Here is an 18,321-nt window from a genome sequence, read left to right on the forward strand (position 1 = left end):
TCTAACAAGATGAAGTAAAGACAAAAGAAATTTTTCTTATTAGAAACAAGATACACCATCACTTAGAGTCTTCAAACACTATTGCACTCTAACTTTCATGACTCAACAAAGCATTCATGGACCAATCTGCAGACGAGTTTTAACAGACACATAAAGCTGTAAGCAGACATGACTGTTCTAAATTTATTAGGTATGAATTTTACAAACGTTACTTATATCTGTGATAACATTAGAGCTGGAGAATATTGCACCTTCTCCAAGTTGCATGGTGAGAACCACCAATAGCGTGGTAGAACTTACGGCCCTTTCCAAGGCCATGGCTCTTGCAGCCTGAGGATGTCAGCCCACACATCTCCCCATGCTTGTGGATAGATTTGGTGATCTGCTGGGTGTCAAGATTTCCTCTGATAGTTTTATGGAATGGATCAATGAGGATAACCTCAAAAAATTTATAAGTGGAACACGTTCCTCTTCCTTGTGTGGCCTGCCTGTTCCTTGGCACACCTAGAGGTGAACTGGGATGACTGGTCACTCATGCTCTGTGTGAGGTTGTGAAAAATGAAACCCACTCAATTGCAGAGAACAGCAAGAGGAAGGAAACTGAGGCAGAAAAGGAGGTGTCTGAGAGGAGGAGGTATTCTTTGGTCAGCCCTGAAAGGTGTGGTTACTCTTCACAGCAATGATGATCGCACTGAAAGGAAGGGGGAGATTTTGACAGATAGCACAGAACCTGGCGCAAATGTAAGCTCCCTAACATCGGGAGCTTCCCTGAGAAGTCAACTTCTTTTATTCTATCAGGCCACTGTAAATAGATGGGAATTCGTTCTTGCACTCCCACCCCTGATGCTTGTAGGAATGTCTGTGTGCCTATGAATGGGGAGATACCCATGTTCCAGTCTTTTCACGTAGTAGAAGGAATACCTGAGAATGCAGTTCCATTGTAAGCCTCTCTACGGTTTGCAAAGCACTTTTATGTAATGTGTTGGATATTCACAATAATCCTGCAAGCCGATGCTGGGCTCCCTATTTTATGGGTGTAGAAACTGAGGCTCAGCAGTTTAAGTAGCAGAGCTGGGAATCGGGGAAGCTGTGCTGCTTGCTTTGTAGTCAAGCCCTGTCACCACCAGGTGATGTCTTCCTTAGTTGGCTTGATTATTTCCCATTGTTGACACTGGGCCCCACCCATGTGTACAGACCTCTTAGCCGACTTCTCTGGAGGCCAAGGGTGAGCTGGGAGGAAGGTGGAAAGTCCAGGCCTTGGGGAGGAACTTTGAGGGAGGTGAGGATGAAATGGCTCATCCACCCTCATCCTTTTCACTGTCCTGTCTTCTCCCTGCCTATTCATATCCCATCAAGGTCTGGTTGGACATAAAGCAGAGCAGTGCTCCCACAGCAACTGGGGAGTCACAGACCCATGCCAGGGCTGGAGCATCATCATATCAGCAGGTCAGCACTGGAGCCCTGGAACTCCATTTGAGCCCTGGAGCCTTCTGAGAGCCTGGCTGCTGGCAGGTACATTGTTGTTTCTCAGCTGAACTGTGAAAGCAACCAGTGTCATTTGAGTTGTCCAGGTCTGAACTGTTCTTTGACATTTAACTCAATCAGGATCTTGCAAGATCTGCTGGGATCTCCAGGAAGCCTGAGGAGCTCTTGGGTCTGAGAGTTCCTTCAGCAAATTGGTGAATGGTGAGAAGTAACACATCTCTGGCAGAAAAGTAGGAAAGTGGGCTTGATGTCATTTTAAAAATGGGGTGGTTACAATCTTGGTAGGGTTCCTGAACTGTGAAGACTTTGGGTGAATCAACACAAGGCCCATGGTCACCCATGTGAACAGAGCCTCAGAAGTTGCGTGTGTGCCGGGGCAGCTCTGATCCTTCTGTGGGCTTCTGTCTTAGCTCAGAAGAAGGAAGAGTTGGCTGAGATGTTTCTAGTAGGCCTCTTTGGTGCTTGACCTGGTCAGTCCTGGCTGGGCAGACCAGGGGCCTCAGTTCCTTCTCAGCCTTTCACAAATCTCTCCTTCTGCCTTTAGCCTTTTCTTCCCAGAGGTGAGAGCTGGAAAATCTGAGGGTCCTCTTAGAAGGCACCAGAGTCAGCAGGAATTCTCGTCTGAAAGCCCTGGAAACTATCTCAGGCTGGGGTGGGCTGAAAGATGCTTCTTGGAAGGACAGCTCACAACGTCGATGGGATGCTAGAAAATGCAGTGCAGAGGTGGGCAGGGGCCAGACAAGATGGCTACACAGCAAATAATCCTCAGCTGTTCCCACCTGTTTTGGTTATTTCCTTGAATGCCAAGGCTCTGAGTGACTGAGTGTGTGTGTGTGTGAGGGGTGAGGGGGAGATGAAGGGAGCATCTAATTGGGCAGGCCTGGGTCACAAGTCTACAACTTTTGCATCCAAGGGCTTGGTTGAGGGGATATTTGGCCTCTAGCTGCTTGCAGTAGGAGGCTGGGCCCTGCCTCCCACCAGGATTCCCTTAAAGTGGAAAAGGTGTTCAGGTACCAGGTGTGATGAAAATAACAACGGTGTACTACTGCATCCTTAAGAGATATTCTTTGATATCATCAGCGGGTTTGAGGCACCTCAAAACTACTGTGCTAAACCCCAGTGATTTCTCTCCACCGAATTCCTGAAATTGGGAAATGGAAATATGGTCAAGGAGAGCAGAACACGAAAGCTCTCCTTCTGCTAGAGCCAGAATCTTTGTGGTTTTTGGAGCCATGAGTATCACCAGAAAGGCATGCACCTAAGCCCTACTGAGAGCCCTGGAGCTGAGACCCTAAGTTCTGGTATCAAACACCCCTGTCACCTCCAAGGTGCACCTTGCATAGGTCATTCCTCTCTGAGCTTTAGCTTCCACACCTACAAAAGCGGGGCTAGTTGTGCTTTTGAGACAATGAATGTGAACATGCTTGTACTTCTGAAGTACAGGTTGAGCATCCTTAACCTGAATATCTGAAATGCAAATGCTCCAAAATCCAAAACTTTTTGAACACCAACATGATACTCAAAGGAAATGCTCATTGGAGCATTTTGGATTTTGAATTTTTGGACTAGAGATGCTGAATCAGTAAGTATATAATGCAAAAATCCTCCAAATCTCAAATGCAAAATACGTCTCGTCCAAAGCATTTCTGATTAGAGAGACACAATCTGTATTCTCTCACTGTGAGGCCCTCTTATTAGTGTAAACCACAGCCAATGCATAGGATTGTTCAGCCATGTCTGGGGTACCCAGGAGCCGTGTCTGTCCATAAATGCACTGACACCCAAGGCTGTGAATTTTGCCTTCAGCTCAGTCAACAGAAACTGAAATCATTCCTAGAGACCCTGTAATTCAAGCTCCAGCCCAGTCTGTTAAAGGACCTCTGATATCCCTGGTGCTCAGAAAGGTGACTTGTGTGTTTGACTGAAGGTTTGGGGGACCTCTGGAAGCCAGTCTCAGCTCTGCCATTAACTCTGACCATGTCACTTCACTTTTCGGGGCCTCAGTCTCTTCAACTCTATTATGAGGAGAGAGGATCCCAGCGTGTGCATGATCTTAATTATCCACGTTAGTGCAAAGAAGCTGTGCGGTGTATGGTTTGAGAACCTTCACTTGATTTGGGGGATGCAGTGAATTGTTTGGAGGAATAGCAGGGAGTAGAGAGATCAGATTTTCTTTTGTAGCTTTTTTCTTTTAAATGATATTTAAAAAAAATGAATTCCCCCAGCTATCGCATTACTGGGTATATACCCAAAGGAATATAAAGCATTCTACCATAAAGACACAGGCATGTGACTGTGCATTGCAGCACTGTTCACAATAGCAAAGACATGGAATCAACCTAAATGCCCATCCATCAATGACAGATTGGATAAAGAAAATGTGGTACATATATACTGTGAAATATTATGCAGCCACAAAAACAGCTGTTTTTTTCTGGGAACATGGATGGAGCTGGAAGCTATTATCCTTAGCAAACTAATGCAGGAACAGAAAAGCAAATATCACAAGTCCTCACTTATAAGTGGGAGCTAAATAATAAGAACTTATGAACACAAAGAAGGAAGCAACAGACACTGGGATCTACTTGAGTGGGGAGGGTGGGAGGAGGGAGCGGGGCAGAAAAGATGACTACTGGGTACTGAGCTTAATACCTGGGTAATGAAATAATCTGTAAAACAAACCCCTGTGACACATGTTTACCTATGTAAGAAACCTTCACATGTACCCCCAAACCTAAAATAAAAGTTTCATAAAACCATGAAAGGAGAGAGAGCCTAGGTGGAAAGGAAACCTGGCCTCAGGGTAGCCAAGCAGAAGTTTGCATGCCAGCCACCAGACGATGACTCGACTTTGGTCTAAACGTAAGAGAAAAACACACCTCCCCTCCTGGATTTATACTCAGAATAGTTTAGACAGCTCATTTTTTTCCTAAGCAACTTCCAAAGTTTAGCCAATGATTCTCAAACTTTAATGTGCATAAGCCTCTGGAGAGCTTATGAAAATGCAGATTTTCAGGCTCTGTCCTTAAACATTCTGATTTAGAAGGTCTGGAGTAAGCCCAGAATCTGCTTTGTTAGAACAGCTGGTCTTGGCCCAGACCACTTTTTGAGTAGCAAGCATTAGATTCTGCAGCATCCCAGAAAACGCTGACAGGCGACACGGGCAGGAGGTGAGTCCCACTGTAATCATGATCGAGTGTCATCTTTCTGGCCTCAGATTTTTTGCACATTTAGACTTGGACTGCATGAATGCTACAGCCTCTTTGGGCTTTATCTCCAAGGCTGTGGTGCAGTCAAATCTCCCAGCCTGGCCAGAGCTGTTCTCCCCAACTCAAGGTTTACACTAAATTTCTACAAGGGAAAGCCCTGAAGCAGGCTGCCTTACCAGAATCACTTGGAAATCGAGTGGAAATTTTGCATCTTCTGCTTTCAAATTTGATGGTGTGACAGCAACTGTGACGCACACGACAACATTGGTGCCTTCCATTGGCTCTTGCACAGAGAAGTTGAATTGAGCATCATTCCGAGGTCCTCCTGCATCAGAAAGAGCTGTTACTAGAGCTCAGCTCCACTCCTGGGACTCCTGGGCAGGGCCATGTCCAGTGCAGAGAGTTCTGTGGGGTTGTGTTGTGAACTCTGGATTGGAGACCTAAGGCCTGGATCCCAATCCCCACAGTTACTACTTGAGAAACAAGTTAATTTTCTAAACCTTGGTTTCCTCCTCTTAAACACAGGAGAGGTTGTATAGTCCCTACTGTGTGAAAAATATTTCTTAAACTGTAAAGTCAAAGTCTATTTTATAATGATAAGTGAAATTCCAGAGTTCCCAGCTACATGTGAGCTTATGCATTGGTGGTAACCATCAGAGCCTTGAAATGGCATGAACCACCCAAGCACAACTAGAGACAGGAAAACAGGCAGTGAGATGGCAATTACAGTACTCTTCTATCCAAGCATGCTTATCAAAGCCAGAATAAGAGAGAGCGAGCTAATGTGAAAACCATTAGATTCAAATACATGGAAGAATGAAGATAAGTCAAGATAGAGATGAATTGATACACATCAGAAGACTGGACTGACAATGGGGGAGCTCTGCAAGGGAGTGGGGAGGCGTAGAGGACCATCATAGCATGGACGTGCTGCGAGGACTGGAGAAGATGGTGCATTAAAATGCATCTGCAGCACATAGCAGGTGCTCGATCACTGGCTCTCTTTTCTTTTTCCATTGTAACGTATTACTAAAAATGGCCCTGATGTAAAGGTTTTGTTAGTTCATTGACAAGCATTGTATCCAGGGGAGAGGGCCTTGGCCCTATAATCAGAGAGGTGCAGCTCAGGAAGAGGAATCAGTAAATTTGCTGCCCAAGAGTGACTCAACAGCTCTTGAGGTTCTGCCCAAGACCTCCTGGTGACAAGGCTCTCTGGGCAGAAGTTCTGTAGATCACTAGAGCCTGGAGGTAAAAAAGAGGGACACCCTGGGTTATGGGCTCATTCAAACCAACCATCCCGACAGGCAGGTGCCCAGAGGAAGGGATGCATATGCATCCCTGGGTGCAAACACACAACAAACACACTCACACACACAAATGCATTGTTTACGCAGCCTCTTTTATCAAAGATATATAAGCACACTCTTGTTCGTCTTCACAGGGAGCTATTTCACTCAACAATGCCACAAACAGGGAATGAGAGGGACAGGGAGGGAATGTGACTTTCCCAAGGCCATGATCAACAAGATTCATCTCAGGGGAGCTCAAAGACAGGCTCAGATGCGCCTACCTGTGGGACTTCAGCAGGGACATACCTGCCAAGACAGGGCAGGGATAGTCTCCCTTGTGTCTAGGTAGTGCTCTCTAGGCTCAAGGACAGACAAGTATGACTATTTCCACTGCTGAGTCTTGGGGAGGCTGAGGACAGGGTGACCAATTATGTTTCCAGCATCACAAGGCCAGTATGTGGCAAAGACAAGGGTCCAACCTAGGCCCTGACACTTTTCCTGTGTTCTTTCTGCAGCGCTCTCCCTTGTCCTGGACATTTACTGGAGGGTGGTGAGCCCACTCTCCTCCCAGGAAGCGGGAGGGTGTTAGTGGAAGGATATTGGCACAGCATGGAGGGCTAGGGGAGAATCACATCAGAGATTCTCCAACTTGGCCCCTACAGCAATCATTTTACTTAGAGGAGCAGTCGCTGTCTCTTCATGCTGACAAACTCCCCTCCTTTCAGCTTCAGGCTCATGGTCCAGAATCAAGGACCAGAGAGAGCTGAAGCCATGCAAGGGCTGGGCTGGGGCAGCCAGCTTCCAGTTGGGCAGTGTGACCACCAGCGTCATGATTACCTGCAGTGTTTCCTAGAATCACTTGCTTCCTAAACATTATTTGGGACCATCCTTCGTGGAGTGTGTTTCCATGGTCCAGGGTAATTGGAATTTCGCTACATATAAACATGGCGATGAATTTCTGTTGGAAATCTTGACACGACATCCTGTTAAAAACAGATATACATCACTCAGTGACCAGGGGTTGTGTCCCCAGGGTGGGGGTTCCTATGACTTCACAGCATAGCCACTGTCCTGCCCAGAGGCCAGTGTCTGATCCTGGCTCATTCACCATCAAGCACCCTTCTATCTTTTCAGTCCTTCTGCTCCAGTGGCTGGGAGGGCAAGGCAAGGACACAGTCAAGTTCTGGGGTCTGCCGGTCACCTGGCAGCAGCTTTATCATTTACTGCCATCTCCTTAACCCATTGATCCGATGGTGAGCCCTTTCATGATCAGTGGGACGACGGCCAGTCTCTCTCTGCTCTGGGTCCTCTAAGCTGCTAGGAAAATTGCTTTTCCCCTAGGGTGTTTTGCCAAATTTATTGTTGAGGTCTTTATCAGCCTAAAATGGATTCCACACCTAAAATCCCACCTCCTACTGTGATTAAACCAGAGATACTGGGAAAGATTTCCTTCTAATTTATATTTGTCCCTCTGATTCTTAATTATTTAGATCCATGCTCCTTTCCACACATGCTAATTTCCATTGAAATGCATCACTCCGTAAACCAGACAACCCTCTGAGGAATGTACACGTCATGCTCTAAGATGTGAGCATATGGCCGAGAACGTGTTTTCAAAACATCTAGTCCTGTGTGACTTCTGGGTGATGAAGTCCATGTCTCACCCAGAGCTATAGAGTCTGCATCCTGCTGCTGTTTTTGACGTCATGCTAGAGGAAACTGGGGAGCTCGAGGGTCCCAGCAAGATGGTACAGAGGATATGGGCATGACAACCATGCATCCTAGCTTCCAGGAAACCACAGATTTCAAGCCTTTGGTGCCAATGTTCTCTTTTACTATTAAAATGTCCTGGAAAGTTCAGCATTTCATAACTGAAATAACTTTCCCACCAAGAGGGAGCCTACAATAATTTTTCATCCAAAGTTTTTGTGTCTTGGTAGAGAAAATAGGCTCCCTCTAAACAGGTCTCTGCAAAGCTATTTTCCACCTTCGTAAATGTTCAGGGAAAAGGGTAGGGATTGAAGACTTGGGCAATAAAAGATTTAAAACACCATTGTATAAGAAGGGTAAATACCAAAACTCGCCATCTTCCCGTTTCTTATGTAGCTGGCTTTTCCGCGGATCACAGGTTTCCTCCCACTCCTGAGACCTGAGCATGGACACACAAACCACAGGGTGAGATTTTCCAGTGCATTTTTTCTCAACCATGTGTGGGTCAACAGGGACCCTCTGTACATGTCACCATTCCTGGGGAGCACAGGGCAAGTGTCATCCTACCTAGGACAGGACCCAGTTATTCTCTACCTGTTGACGACTTCCAAACATCTGTCCCCAGCCTGGTCTTCTTTCCTGAAGTCCAGATGGATTTATGCTGTAGTTCACCCCACATTTCCAAGAGAGTCCCATAGTGACCTCAAATCAACCTGTCCCTGACTGTACCCATCCTCTGCCACCTCCTATTGCCTGAGCGAGAACATGAGGAGTCCCTCTCTCACACCCCCACATCCAAACAATCATCAAATAGCATTCATTGATTGATCCTACCTCTTACACCCCTCTCAAAGCCAGGCACTTACTTCCATCCTTCCTGCTGTTACCCTAGTTCAGGCTCCCTGCCCTTCCCTCTGGATATCCACCTGGTCTCCCTGAACTCAGTTCTGCCCACTTTCCCATCCGTTCCCACACTGCCATTGAAATGATCTTTCTAAAATGTAAACTTGATTATATTATTTCCCTACTTAAAACCTATCAGTGGTTCCATATTATTCTTAAGGTGAAGTTCACACTCCTTAAAGAGAACTTTGTCCTCTGCCACCCTCTCCGATGTTACCAGTTTCTTGCTTTCTCACCTTACCCCCACTCTTGAATTCTACTCTCCAGCAATAGTGTCTTCATTTCCTTAAAACACCACCCCCCCAAGCCCAACTTTCACCCTGATGCTCCCCCTGCACCTGGCGCCCTCTTCCTCCTCTCAGTTCTGTAACCTGCTCTTACTCATCTTTCCTCTTAAAGGGCATTGCCTCTGGGAAGCCTTGCTTGGCCCCCAAATGCCCTCTATTCCAGGTCTTTTGAGCTTCCATAGCCCACTGTGTTACCATTACTTTGTGTATTGGTTGCTATGTCTCACTAGACTCCCAGAACCATGAGATTCCTGAGCCTGGCTGGCCATCCTATCATCACAGGTGTTTTGCCCATGCCTTGGCATGTATTAGGTGGGTGCAAAAGTAATTGCATGCCTAATAGCATACAGTGATTTTTTGTTTGCTTAATTAATTAATGCTGCCCACTTCGTTGGAACGATGTGTTCCAGAAGCCAGTCCTTGGGTCTCTGGTGAGGAAGAGACCCTCACAAGCAGAAGGGAGCAGCTGCTCCTTCAGTCCACTCCTTAGAGGGGAGGCATGCTTGTAAGCAATGGGTTTCAGAGGCACAAAAGCTCAATGAGACCTTTCTCCTGGATGAGCTTGCATGGGGAGCCTGGGTCCCCTCTGTGCTAGGACAGCAAGGCAGGGGCCACCACTCAGGCTTCTGGCTGCAGGCTGAGGCAGTCAGATGTGGTATTGTAAAATGGCAATTTTATAATTAAGTGATAATTACATTTTCTGCAATGTGTGAGGGAGAATAAATGTAGTGTAGATCAATACGCTATTGATTCATGCAAGTTTGCCTTTAAGTGTGTGCGACTGAAATTTTAATTATGGCTGAGATTAGACCATCCGGTGCTCTCCATCCATCTCCATTCCTAAAAAGTAGGGAAGAAATCGACCACCTGCTTGGAGACAGTGATTATGCAGTCCCCGTCACTTCCTTCCAGCCTGGTTTCTGGTGCAAAGTGGCGACCCTCAGCAGTCAGCCAAGGTACAATACGAGATCCAACAGAACAGGTTCTGCTAGATCCGTCTCCCCCAGTCCCTGCTCTGCAAACATCACGGCCATGTTCAAAAGCCTTCATTTATGCCCATGCCTGCAGGGGATAAATCCAGACTTCCGGCATCAGGCTGTCCTGTGTCAGCTCCCAGCACTCTCTCTCCCAGTTTCCTCTGCCTCAGGCCGGCTTGTTGGCCCGGAACAGACTATCAATGTTCCCAGCTGGGTGCAATAGCCTATGCGTCCCCCTCCTATCTAGTGATCTCTTCTGAAGTGAGTCATACTTCCTCTGCCACAAGGCCAACTCAAGTTCAGTCCCATCCATGAAGCTTTCCCTGAACATGCCAGCCCACGGGAAGCTTCTCTTCCCCAAATCCTGGTGTCCCCTGTTGCCTTCACTGGTCATTTGATATTTAGCATGGGAAACACGGGCAAATTATCAATTGTGAATATATTGCCTCTTCTCCTACCCCAGGGAATCTGTCATTGTCATTTGCCTTCCCTCTACTTCTATCCCAAGAGGCAGCCTCAAATCAGGGGTGCTGGCTGATCCTGTCACCCTCTGGGACATATTTGGCAACTTGGAGTAATGACTGGGAAGGAGAACTGGAAAAGGCCAGAGGTTATTAGGATTTGTATTGGAAAGGGCAAAGGATACACCTGGGAAGGAAGAAAGAATAGAGGTGAGAGAGGAGAAACGGGGGCAGGGAGGGGGTTCGGCTGCCCGATTCTCGCAGGGGCATCTAAGGTCACAGTTAGGTTTATTCTAGGAATTCACTGTGCTGTTTCATCCCTTATTCCATCTCCGCTTACCTCGCCCTCCATCCCAATCATACTTTCATCCCACACTGGCTGAGTGCCCAGGGGTGCCAAGGTCATGGGGGATCGGAGCGGTCCTGCCACAGCTTAGCCTGGGGCATCAGGCCTAGAACTGGCTGGCTCTGCATTCACCTTCCAGAAAGCACCGTCCTCACTGTATTGATTTCACTGTGTGCTGGGCTCGTTCCTGTTCCAAATGGATTGCACTTCCTTTCAGATCATGTTCCCCACCCCCAGCCCCACGGGCGATGATGCAGCAGCTGCTGTGTCACGACATTTTTCACGGATGGACACAGACCCTGGAGGAATGCGACCAGGCTGAGCCTCACTGGCTGCCCAGAGGAGCAAGTAACCTGTTGCGGCCCCTCTGTCCTCTCAGGACTACTGTCTCTTTCATAGTCAGCAAGGGGCTGGGGGCCTAGGGGTCCACCCCTCTGGCAGCTGGGAAATGCCAGCCCAGTTCCCTGGGGAAAGCACTGACCACACAGCTGGGCCCCCATGGGACATCTTAGCTCCTGTCCCTCCTGATCTAAGTGTGGGCAGGCACAGCTTTTCATTTATATCCCAGGCGCCGAGTACTCATGGGCATCCAGAGCAGTAGGGCAAGACTGGTGAGCTGAGTAGATTGGACAAAAACATCATCCAGATCTTTGCATCAGTTTCCCCAACTGCCCCCAGTTAGGACACCTTTTCCACCCTGATGATGTGACATGCTCAGGATCAGAATCCCATGGGTCCCTCCAAGGGATGCAGTTCCTTCTCTCCATCTGTGTCTTGGCAAGTCGGGGCTTGGCTCCTGCCTGCCTTGCCTCCCGCCACTTTTACTAATTCTAGGAATGTGGATTCCCTGCTGTAGACTGTAACCTTCTGGAGGGTGGGCACTGGGTCTTGTCATCCATATATACCTCACAACACCCACTTAACACAGTGCAGTTAGTACAGGGTGTACACAGTAGGTGCCCCATAGTTGCTTGGCGGATGGCATCACAGGAGCGTGAGATGGACCGATAGCCACGTGTAGGTGTGAGCTGGACAGGCCTGCAGTGAGATGCGCAGTGGCTAGATAGCCCCTGCTCTCATGGGCAGGAGGCTCTACCGACACCAAGCGCTCTGTGAAGGATGGAGAGAGGTTTCCAGAAGCCATACCCATCACTCCAGCGCCCTCTCCATTCGGCCTCGCCCCAGCCCCAGGGGTTCCACAGGGAGATAATTTCTTCCCAGCCCCTTCGGTATTGAATCTGTAAAGAAAACAGAAAAGGAAACTCAGTGCTCTACAGCAAAAGTCAGCAGAAAGGGGGATGAATGCAGCTGCTTTTTACCTCCAAGGACCAATTTAACTTCTGACCTCATTTGGCTGCAGCCAGAAAAAAAATTGAAAGGGAAAAAAAAATCAATGTCTCTCTACTGCCTGCATGGCGTTGGAATGAGATAGACAAGGAAATGGCCCCTCATTCCGCTCAGCCCCTTGCAAGGGCAGATGCAACTTCATCATTCCCTAAGACTGAATCCCAGAACCTGAGTGAGTTGAGATTTAATAGCAGATAAACAGCAGGGGATGTTGCTTCGGGCTGCAGAGAATTTTATGGTTCCCCAGCCTCCTCCAAGCCCTGTCATGGATGGCATCTGTTCCACAGACGCAGCCTGATTCTCTGCCGGCAGCCCAGTGGGAGCTATGGTGCAGTCTCAACAGCACTGTCGTGAGTGAGGAGGGTAGAGGAGGCAGATTTGAGCAAGACTGAGATGGCCTGTGAACCAAGATAGCCAAGGCTAGCCCTCCTCGTCCTGCATCCCGGAGCTGATGAGACACCTTGGTCTGAGAGAATATGGCCAACAATATCCTGAACTTCCCTCCCTCCCTCTCTTTCCTTTCCTTCCTCCCTCCCTCCCTTTCCTTTCCTTCCTCCCTCCCTTCCCTTCCTCCCTTCCTTCCTCCCTTCCTTCTTTCCCTTTCTCCCTCCCTCCATCCTTCAGTCCCTTCCTACCCTCCTTTCCCTTACTCCCTCTCGTCTTCCCTTCTTTCTTTCCTTCCTTTTCCTCCCTCCCTCCCTTTCTTCCCTCCTTCCTTCTGTTTCTTTCCTTTCTTCCCCCCTTGCCCCTATCCTTTTCCCTTCCCTGCTCCTATTCTTCCTTCCCTCCCTCCCTCCTTCCTTCCTTCCCTCCCTCCCTCCCTCCTCCCTCCCTTCCTCTCTGCCTCCCTTCATCCCTCCCTCCCTTTCTTCCTCTGTCTCTTCCTTCCTCCCTCTTCCCCTTCCTTTTTTCCTCCCTCCCTCGTTTTTCTCCTCCTTCCATCCCTCCCTTCCTTCTTTACCCCCTGCCTTCCCTCTTCTCTCCCTCCCTCCTTTCCTCCTTCCTTTCTTTTCTTCCTGCCCCCTGTCTGGGGTAACTCATAGTCGTGCACTTCAGATAAGGAGGTCTACCCCTTTGCTCCCTCACACCGCTTAAGCCAGAGGGCAGGACTGTGGGAAAGTGACAACAACACAGCAGCCAACCCTTGAATCTGCATCCCCGGGAGCCGGCAGCCCTCAGCATGGCGAGAGGAATTAAAATATGACTGAGCTGTAGCTGTGATATCAATCTGTGCTAATGTTGTCTGAGGAGACAGAGGCCCAGAGGGGTGAGGAAAGGGGCGAACTTGCTCCATGATTCTTGGTCAGAGGAGAAGGACAAGTCTGAATAGAATAGACTATCGCTGTGTGGAAGACAAGCCGCAGGTGGACGCAGGGCTCAGAGCTAGGTGCGGGCTGATGTGCGCTAAGGAAACGGCACTAGAGAAGCTGAGCAACTTTCTCAATACCGCTGAGACAGCGGCGGAGGCAGAATTCCAATCCAGCCACGGTGAGTATCTAAAGTCCGGGCTCCTAGTTTTGGAATTAGGCATGAGTAAAGGTTCGTTCTTGGATGTGGCTGTGACCTTGGCCTCGACTGTGACCCTTGAGCCACCTGGTCAATTCCCATGCTCAGCAGTGGGGCATTGCTGTGCAGGAGCCGCACAGTCACACATGGGCCCAGGAGCCTGGCTCGGATAAGGCTCTTTTCTGTTGCTTCCCTTGCCTGCCCCGCTCCCTGGCCAGTACCTCAGCAGAAGGGGCTCTGACTTGCAATGCCTCCAAGAGGCACGAACCCAGGTTTTCCACCCCTGTCTGCCCTACCCTAAGGCACCCCAGGCCTTGCACGCCATTTATTATTGTTGTGATTTTTTTTGAGATGGAGTCTTGCTGGGTCGCCCAGGCTGGAGTGCAGTGGCACGATCTCGGCTCACTGCAAGCTCCGCCTCCCGGGTTCATGCCGTCCTCCTGCCTCAGCCTCCCGAGTAGCTGGGACCACAGGCAGGTACCCGCCTAATGCCCGGCTAATCTTTTGTATTTTTAGTAGAGACGGGGTTTCACCGTGTTAGCCAGGATGGATACGCAGTTTATTGTTAACTGCCAGCACCTGACAGAGCCCATGGAGCAGGGACACAAGCAATGGTCACTTGGTGTCCCAAACAGCTTAATGAGCCACCGTCAGTGCCTCACAGATACTCAGGGGCTCCAGTGGGCATGGTGGGGAGAAAAGCAGCCTGCGATTCAAAGGGGCTGAAAGCAGGGCTAAACGAGGCATGCAGATAAACACTCACCCCTATGCCCAGGGGAATCGCCGACTGAGCTAGGTGCATAATAAAAAATGCCGATTTCATTTATCTTCCTGTCTGTGTCCCGCCTAGAGGGAGGATGAGCAGATTAAAAAGCGCGCCACATTTATGGGCTGGTTTAATCTTAGCACTTGTGGTTCAGAGTTAGAACTGCCTCTCTCTGGAGGAGGAATCTTTAACCAAGTCAAGTTCGTGAGCCCTTGTGTCCCTCCTTTATGACAGTGACCTATTGGCGCTCGCATGGGCCTTGGTCTGGGGGAGCAGGGGTCACACGCGAGGCCAAGGCCATGGCTACACCTGAGAATGGGCCAGCCACATGCTTCTTCACTCCCTGGCCTCTGACTCTGCCTCTGACCCTGCTCAGTGCTCAGAAAAGGTGCTACTGGGCAGGAGGTGGCCCGAGTTATCTACCCTGCAGTAGTACTTCCTCAAATGAATTATCCCGAATGCCAGTTCCACTGGCCATTAACAGTTATTCCTAGCAAAAATGGTTTTGTGGCTAATGGTACAATAAAAACCAGCAGTGCTTGCACTGTTCATACAGGCCGCTTGGAGTCCTTAAAATGTGAATGTACACTCTGAATCTCCAAGGAGGGGATATAGTGAGTTGCTTTTCCAAATGTATTTGGAAACCCATTTTCATAGAGGCTAGTGCTTCTTAGAACACATTCTGGGAAGTGTCAGCTACATGGAATGGTGGAGCAGGGATGGATTACACGGGACATGCGGTCTTGATCACCTGTCTTCCCAGGGGAGGTGCTCTGTTTAGACCACTCGGTATATTATTGAAACAACTCCAAGTGTACACTATGGGGGCACAAATGTTCGAGCTGTGGGTGTCATGATCAGGAGCCCAAACGGCAGCTGAGCCCACACTTGGACTCCCGAGCTCCCCTTTGTCACCCTAGGTGTTCACATAGCTGCTCTGCAACCCAGCAGTCACTGCCATCTCCACAGCCAGCCTCTGCGGGGACTCATGCTCCAAGGTCATCTGGACCTCTGGGTACACGAATCCCTTCTCCCCTGTGTTCAGAGGAGAAACAAAGGCTATCTCAATGTATAAAAAGGATCTTGTCCAAGAATGGCAAATACATTGCAAAGGCACCTGACTTCCTCATCTCATGCCCCAAACAGGTATTACTAATTGATAACAGCTCTCTTTCCATGAATCTGGAAGTGCTGAGGTCAATTTTGGACAATTACCTATCGTCCAAAAAGCATTCATTAGAGATTGGAGATACTGTCTTGGTTTTGTGATTGGGACACCGATCAAACCATGAAACAATGGAACAACTGGCCTCAGGTCCATGGACAAGAGAGACAGATGGGTAGAGAGAGGAAGGACATGTGGGAAAGGAGGAGAGGCCAGGCAAGTATGAGAAAGCCACACATAGAGCCTGATGCTCTGCAGTCCTTGGTCCATAAAGTCCTGGGAGAAATTATGTGCCCTAGAGTTTGGAACTTGGTCTCTCAGGGCTTAGAAGACATTATTAGACCTCAAGTGTTGTGGGAAATACAGAGATCAGGGAACACTTGCAGGAAACCATCCCATAGCCAGGAAGTGCTGTCACCGCAAGTGTGGTGACAAATGTAGACGGACACTAAAGAGACAGAGTGTCCAGGCCAGCTGTCTCTCAGATGCTATCTATCTAACCTCGTGAAAGACATCTCTCCTATCAGGTCTCAGCTTCTTCCTTTATGAACGGAGAAGGTTGTGCTTCAGTAGTATTTTCCAGGCCAGTGATCACATACATTTTTGTCCAGCCAAAGTCAGTTCTTCCACTGAGGAGCACGATTGTCCTACAGTGCCAGCCTCCTCCTCTTCCATGAGAATAAAGTTTTATCTGGGCATATGGGGCCCAGCTAGACAGTGTATGTCCCAGCCTCCCTTGGCCTTGGTGTGGTCATATAATTAAGCTTAGACTAATGGGATGTGAGAGAAATGATGCATGCCTCTTCCAATTCATGCCTTCTATATGGACGTATGAGTGTCTCCTGGCCTCTTTCTCTCCCCTGGCTGGGAGATGAGGGATCAGAGCAGCTGTCTTGGGCACATGGATGGAAGCTCCATGTCGAGGATGGCAGAGCCACCTACTAGTCCTGGCATCACCTGCTTACCTGAGAGAGAAATGAACCTTGTCTTAAGACCCTATATTTTGGAGTGTCTTTGTTACAACAATTTAGCTTGCATGTAACAAATAAAACCCCTTTCAGGGCAAAACTTCCTCCCTGGAGTCAACTGGGTAGTTCATTCTACCTCCTTTGGGGCTAATCTCCCAGTCTAGATAGACAGTCAGAGCTGTCTGAGATCAGCAACAGGACAGCAACATCTCTGGTGGGTTCTCAGAAAGGAGGACACTGGGAGTCAGAACTTCTGGTTGAACAGAAGGAGCTGAGGCTGTCCATGGTGCATGTCACCACAGAGGCAAGGGCGATATATCCTCATTTCATCTTTCTTGGGCTTTCATGTGATTCTGGCCCCTATTGAGAGGAACAAGAACACTGGGGCAGAGGCCAGGGGAGAGCTGGACAGGCCAGCAGCCAGCCTTACCTGCTCAGCCCCAGTCACAGTGTAGGCATGGAGACTCACCAGCCCATTCTCCATCGCCTGTGCTGTATCTGTTGGCTTCAAGGCAGAAAAGCAGATCAAACATTAGACATCTACAGGTTCTTCAAAGAAATAGAAAAACACAGTCCAAACAGCCACTGAGCCATCTGGGCCTCACTGACTCACTTGGGACTGGTATATGGCCTGGAACTCTTTTCTAGAGCAGCAGAGTTGGAAGGCCATTGGGTGTCTGAGGCCCCAGGGATTTCATGCCTCAGGGCACCACCCCCATGAGTGATAGAACCCCGTGGAGTCCCGAGGGCCTGGGTTACTCTCTCCACCAACCACATGTCATCAGTGAGACACGGCACAAATATGTCTGCTGGGACATTCACAGGAGTCAGGAATCACTTGACCCCCACATTGGGAGTAACTGGAGTTTAAACTGCATCTTGGGCTTCTGGTGGCATTTTGGATTAGCAATGTGTGACTCAAAGCCCACATGTTTCAAGATGAAGGAAGCATCCCCATGGATAGAAACCAGATGTCTCAGAACAGACTCAAATAATTTGGAGGGTCACCCAAGCTTTTCAAAATGGGTCATGCTGCCCTTGGGTGCTGCCATTAGAGCCAGTGAGCATCAGAGGGCCCTGGGGGGCTCCGTGTAAACTTAAGGCAAAATACAAAGGAGCTGAAGCTGCGTTCACCAGTGCATGGTAAAGCCCACTGGTTGCTTGGGAGCTGTAGCAGTAGGTCCAGGCTCTGGCGCAGCAGCATTGGAAGACTTGTCGAGCCACTTATGAGCTGTGTGTTGGTGAGCACCTTAGGTAGCCTCTCTGAGCCCGCCTTTTCTTCTGTGAAGTGAATTCTGCAATTTATGTCTTAGAGGCAGGCTACTGCAGGGTTCAATGGGGTGACCCGGGTAAAGCACGCTATCAGTGTTCGTTAATGGTGGCAGCTTGCCACATCCTCCTTAGCTGAATGGACCCCTGGCTGAGCATTCCTGGCTGAGGAAAGCTTGAACTGGTGCAAAAGGGCTCCCCAGTGACTTACCCCACTTGGAGTGGCACAGGTTATCAGGGAGCCTGCCTTGGTCGCTGTCTTCACTGCCTTCACCAGGTCCACAGGGGAAGAGTGCAGATGGATGTTGGTGATCACGCCTCCTGTGAGGTCCACCAGGGCATCCTCGAGGAAGCCATAGTGCAGATCGGAATAGGATCCGAGCAGCCTGGGAGGGAATGGGGGATGAACCATCGTGGTGCCTTTGGTGAGATGCTCTGGGAGGGGAGCTTGTGCACTGATCCTCTGCCTATTTCCCAGGTAAGGGGCTGCCTGGTCCACTCCTGATCATGGCCACCCACCTCCCCTTTGCCTGGATGGAGATTCTAGCACTGTCTGCAGCTCCAGGGGCTCCTACCATCCTCTGTACCTTCCTGCCCTGGTCCCCCAGGCCTGCACAGTCCCATAAGTGGCAG

General features: G+C 49.1%; 1 protein-coding gene across 9 annotated transcripts in view; it reads right to left on the minus strand.

The window, feature by feature from the left end:
* CAPN13 (calpain 13) overlaps positions 1–18,321 on the minus strand; it is an 84,676-nt gene that overhangs the window by 23,462 nt on the left and 42,893 nt on the right. For 8 of the 9 annotated variants that reach the window (XR_939741.4, XR_939742.3, NM_144575.3 and 5 more), the window contains 6 exons: positions 17,900–18,074; positions 16,850–16,924; positions 11,814–11,905; positions 8,058–8,132; positions 6,821–6,966; positions 4,871–5,019 (listed from right to left, as the gene is read on the minus strand). Coding sequence is in view for 7 of the 9 variants with exons in the window: in NM_144575.3 (NP_653176.2) it covers positions 4,871–5,019; positions 6,821–6,966; positions 8,058–8,132; positions 11,814–11,905; positions 16,850–16,924; positions 17,900–18,074 (712 nt within the window). In the remaining 2 variants the exon portion in view is untranslated. Of the gene's footprint in view, positions 1–169; positions 2,189–4,870; positions 5,020–6,820; positions 6,967–8,057; positions 8,133–11,813; positions 11,906–16,849; positions 16,925–17,899; positions 18,075–18,321 lie in introns of those variants that run through there. The other variant, XM_011533163.3, reaches the window with a different exon arrangement.

The sequence above is a fragment of the Homo sapiens genome, chromosome 2, assembly GCF_000001405.40.
Source record: "Homo sapiens chromosome 2, GRCh38.p14 Primary Assembly".
NCBI classification, from domain to species: Eukaryota; Metazoa; Chordata; class Mammalia; order Primates; family Hominidae; genus Homo; species Homo sapiens.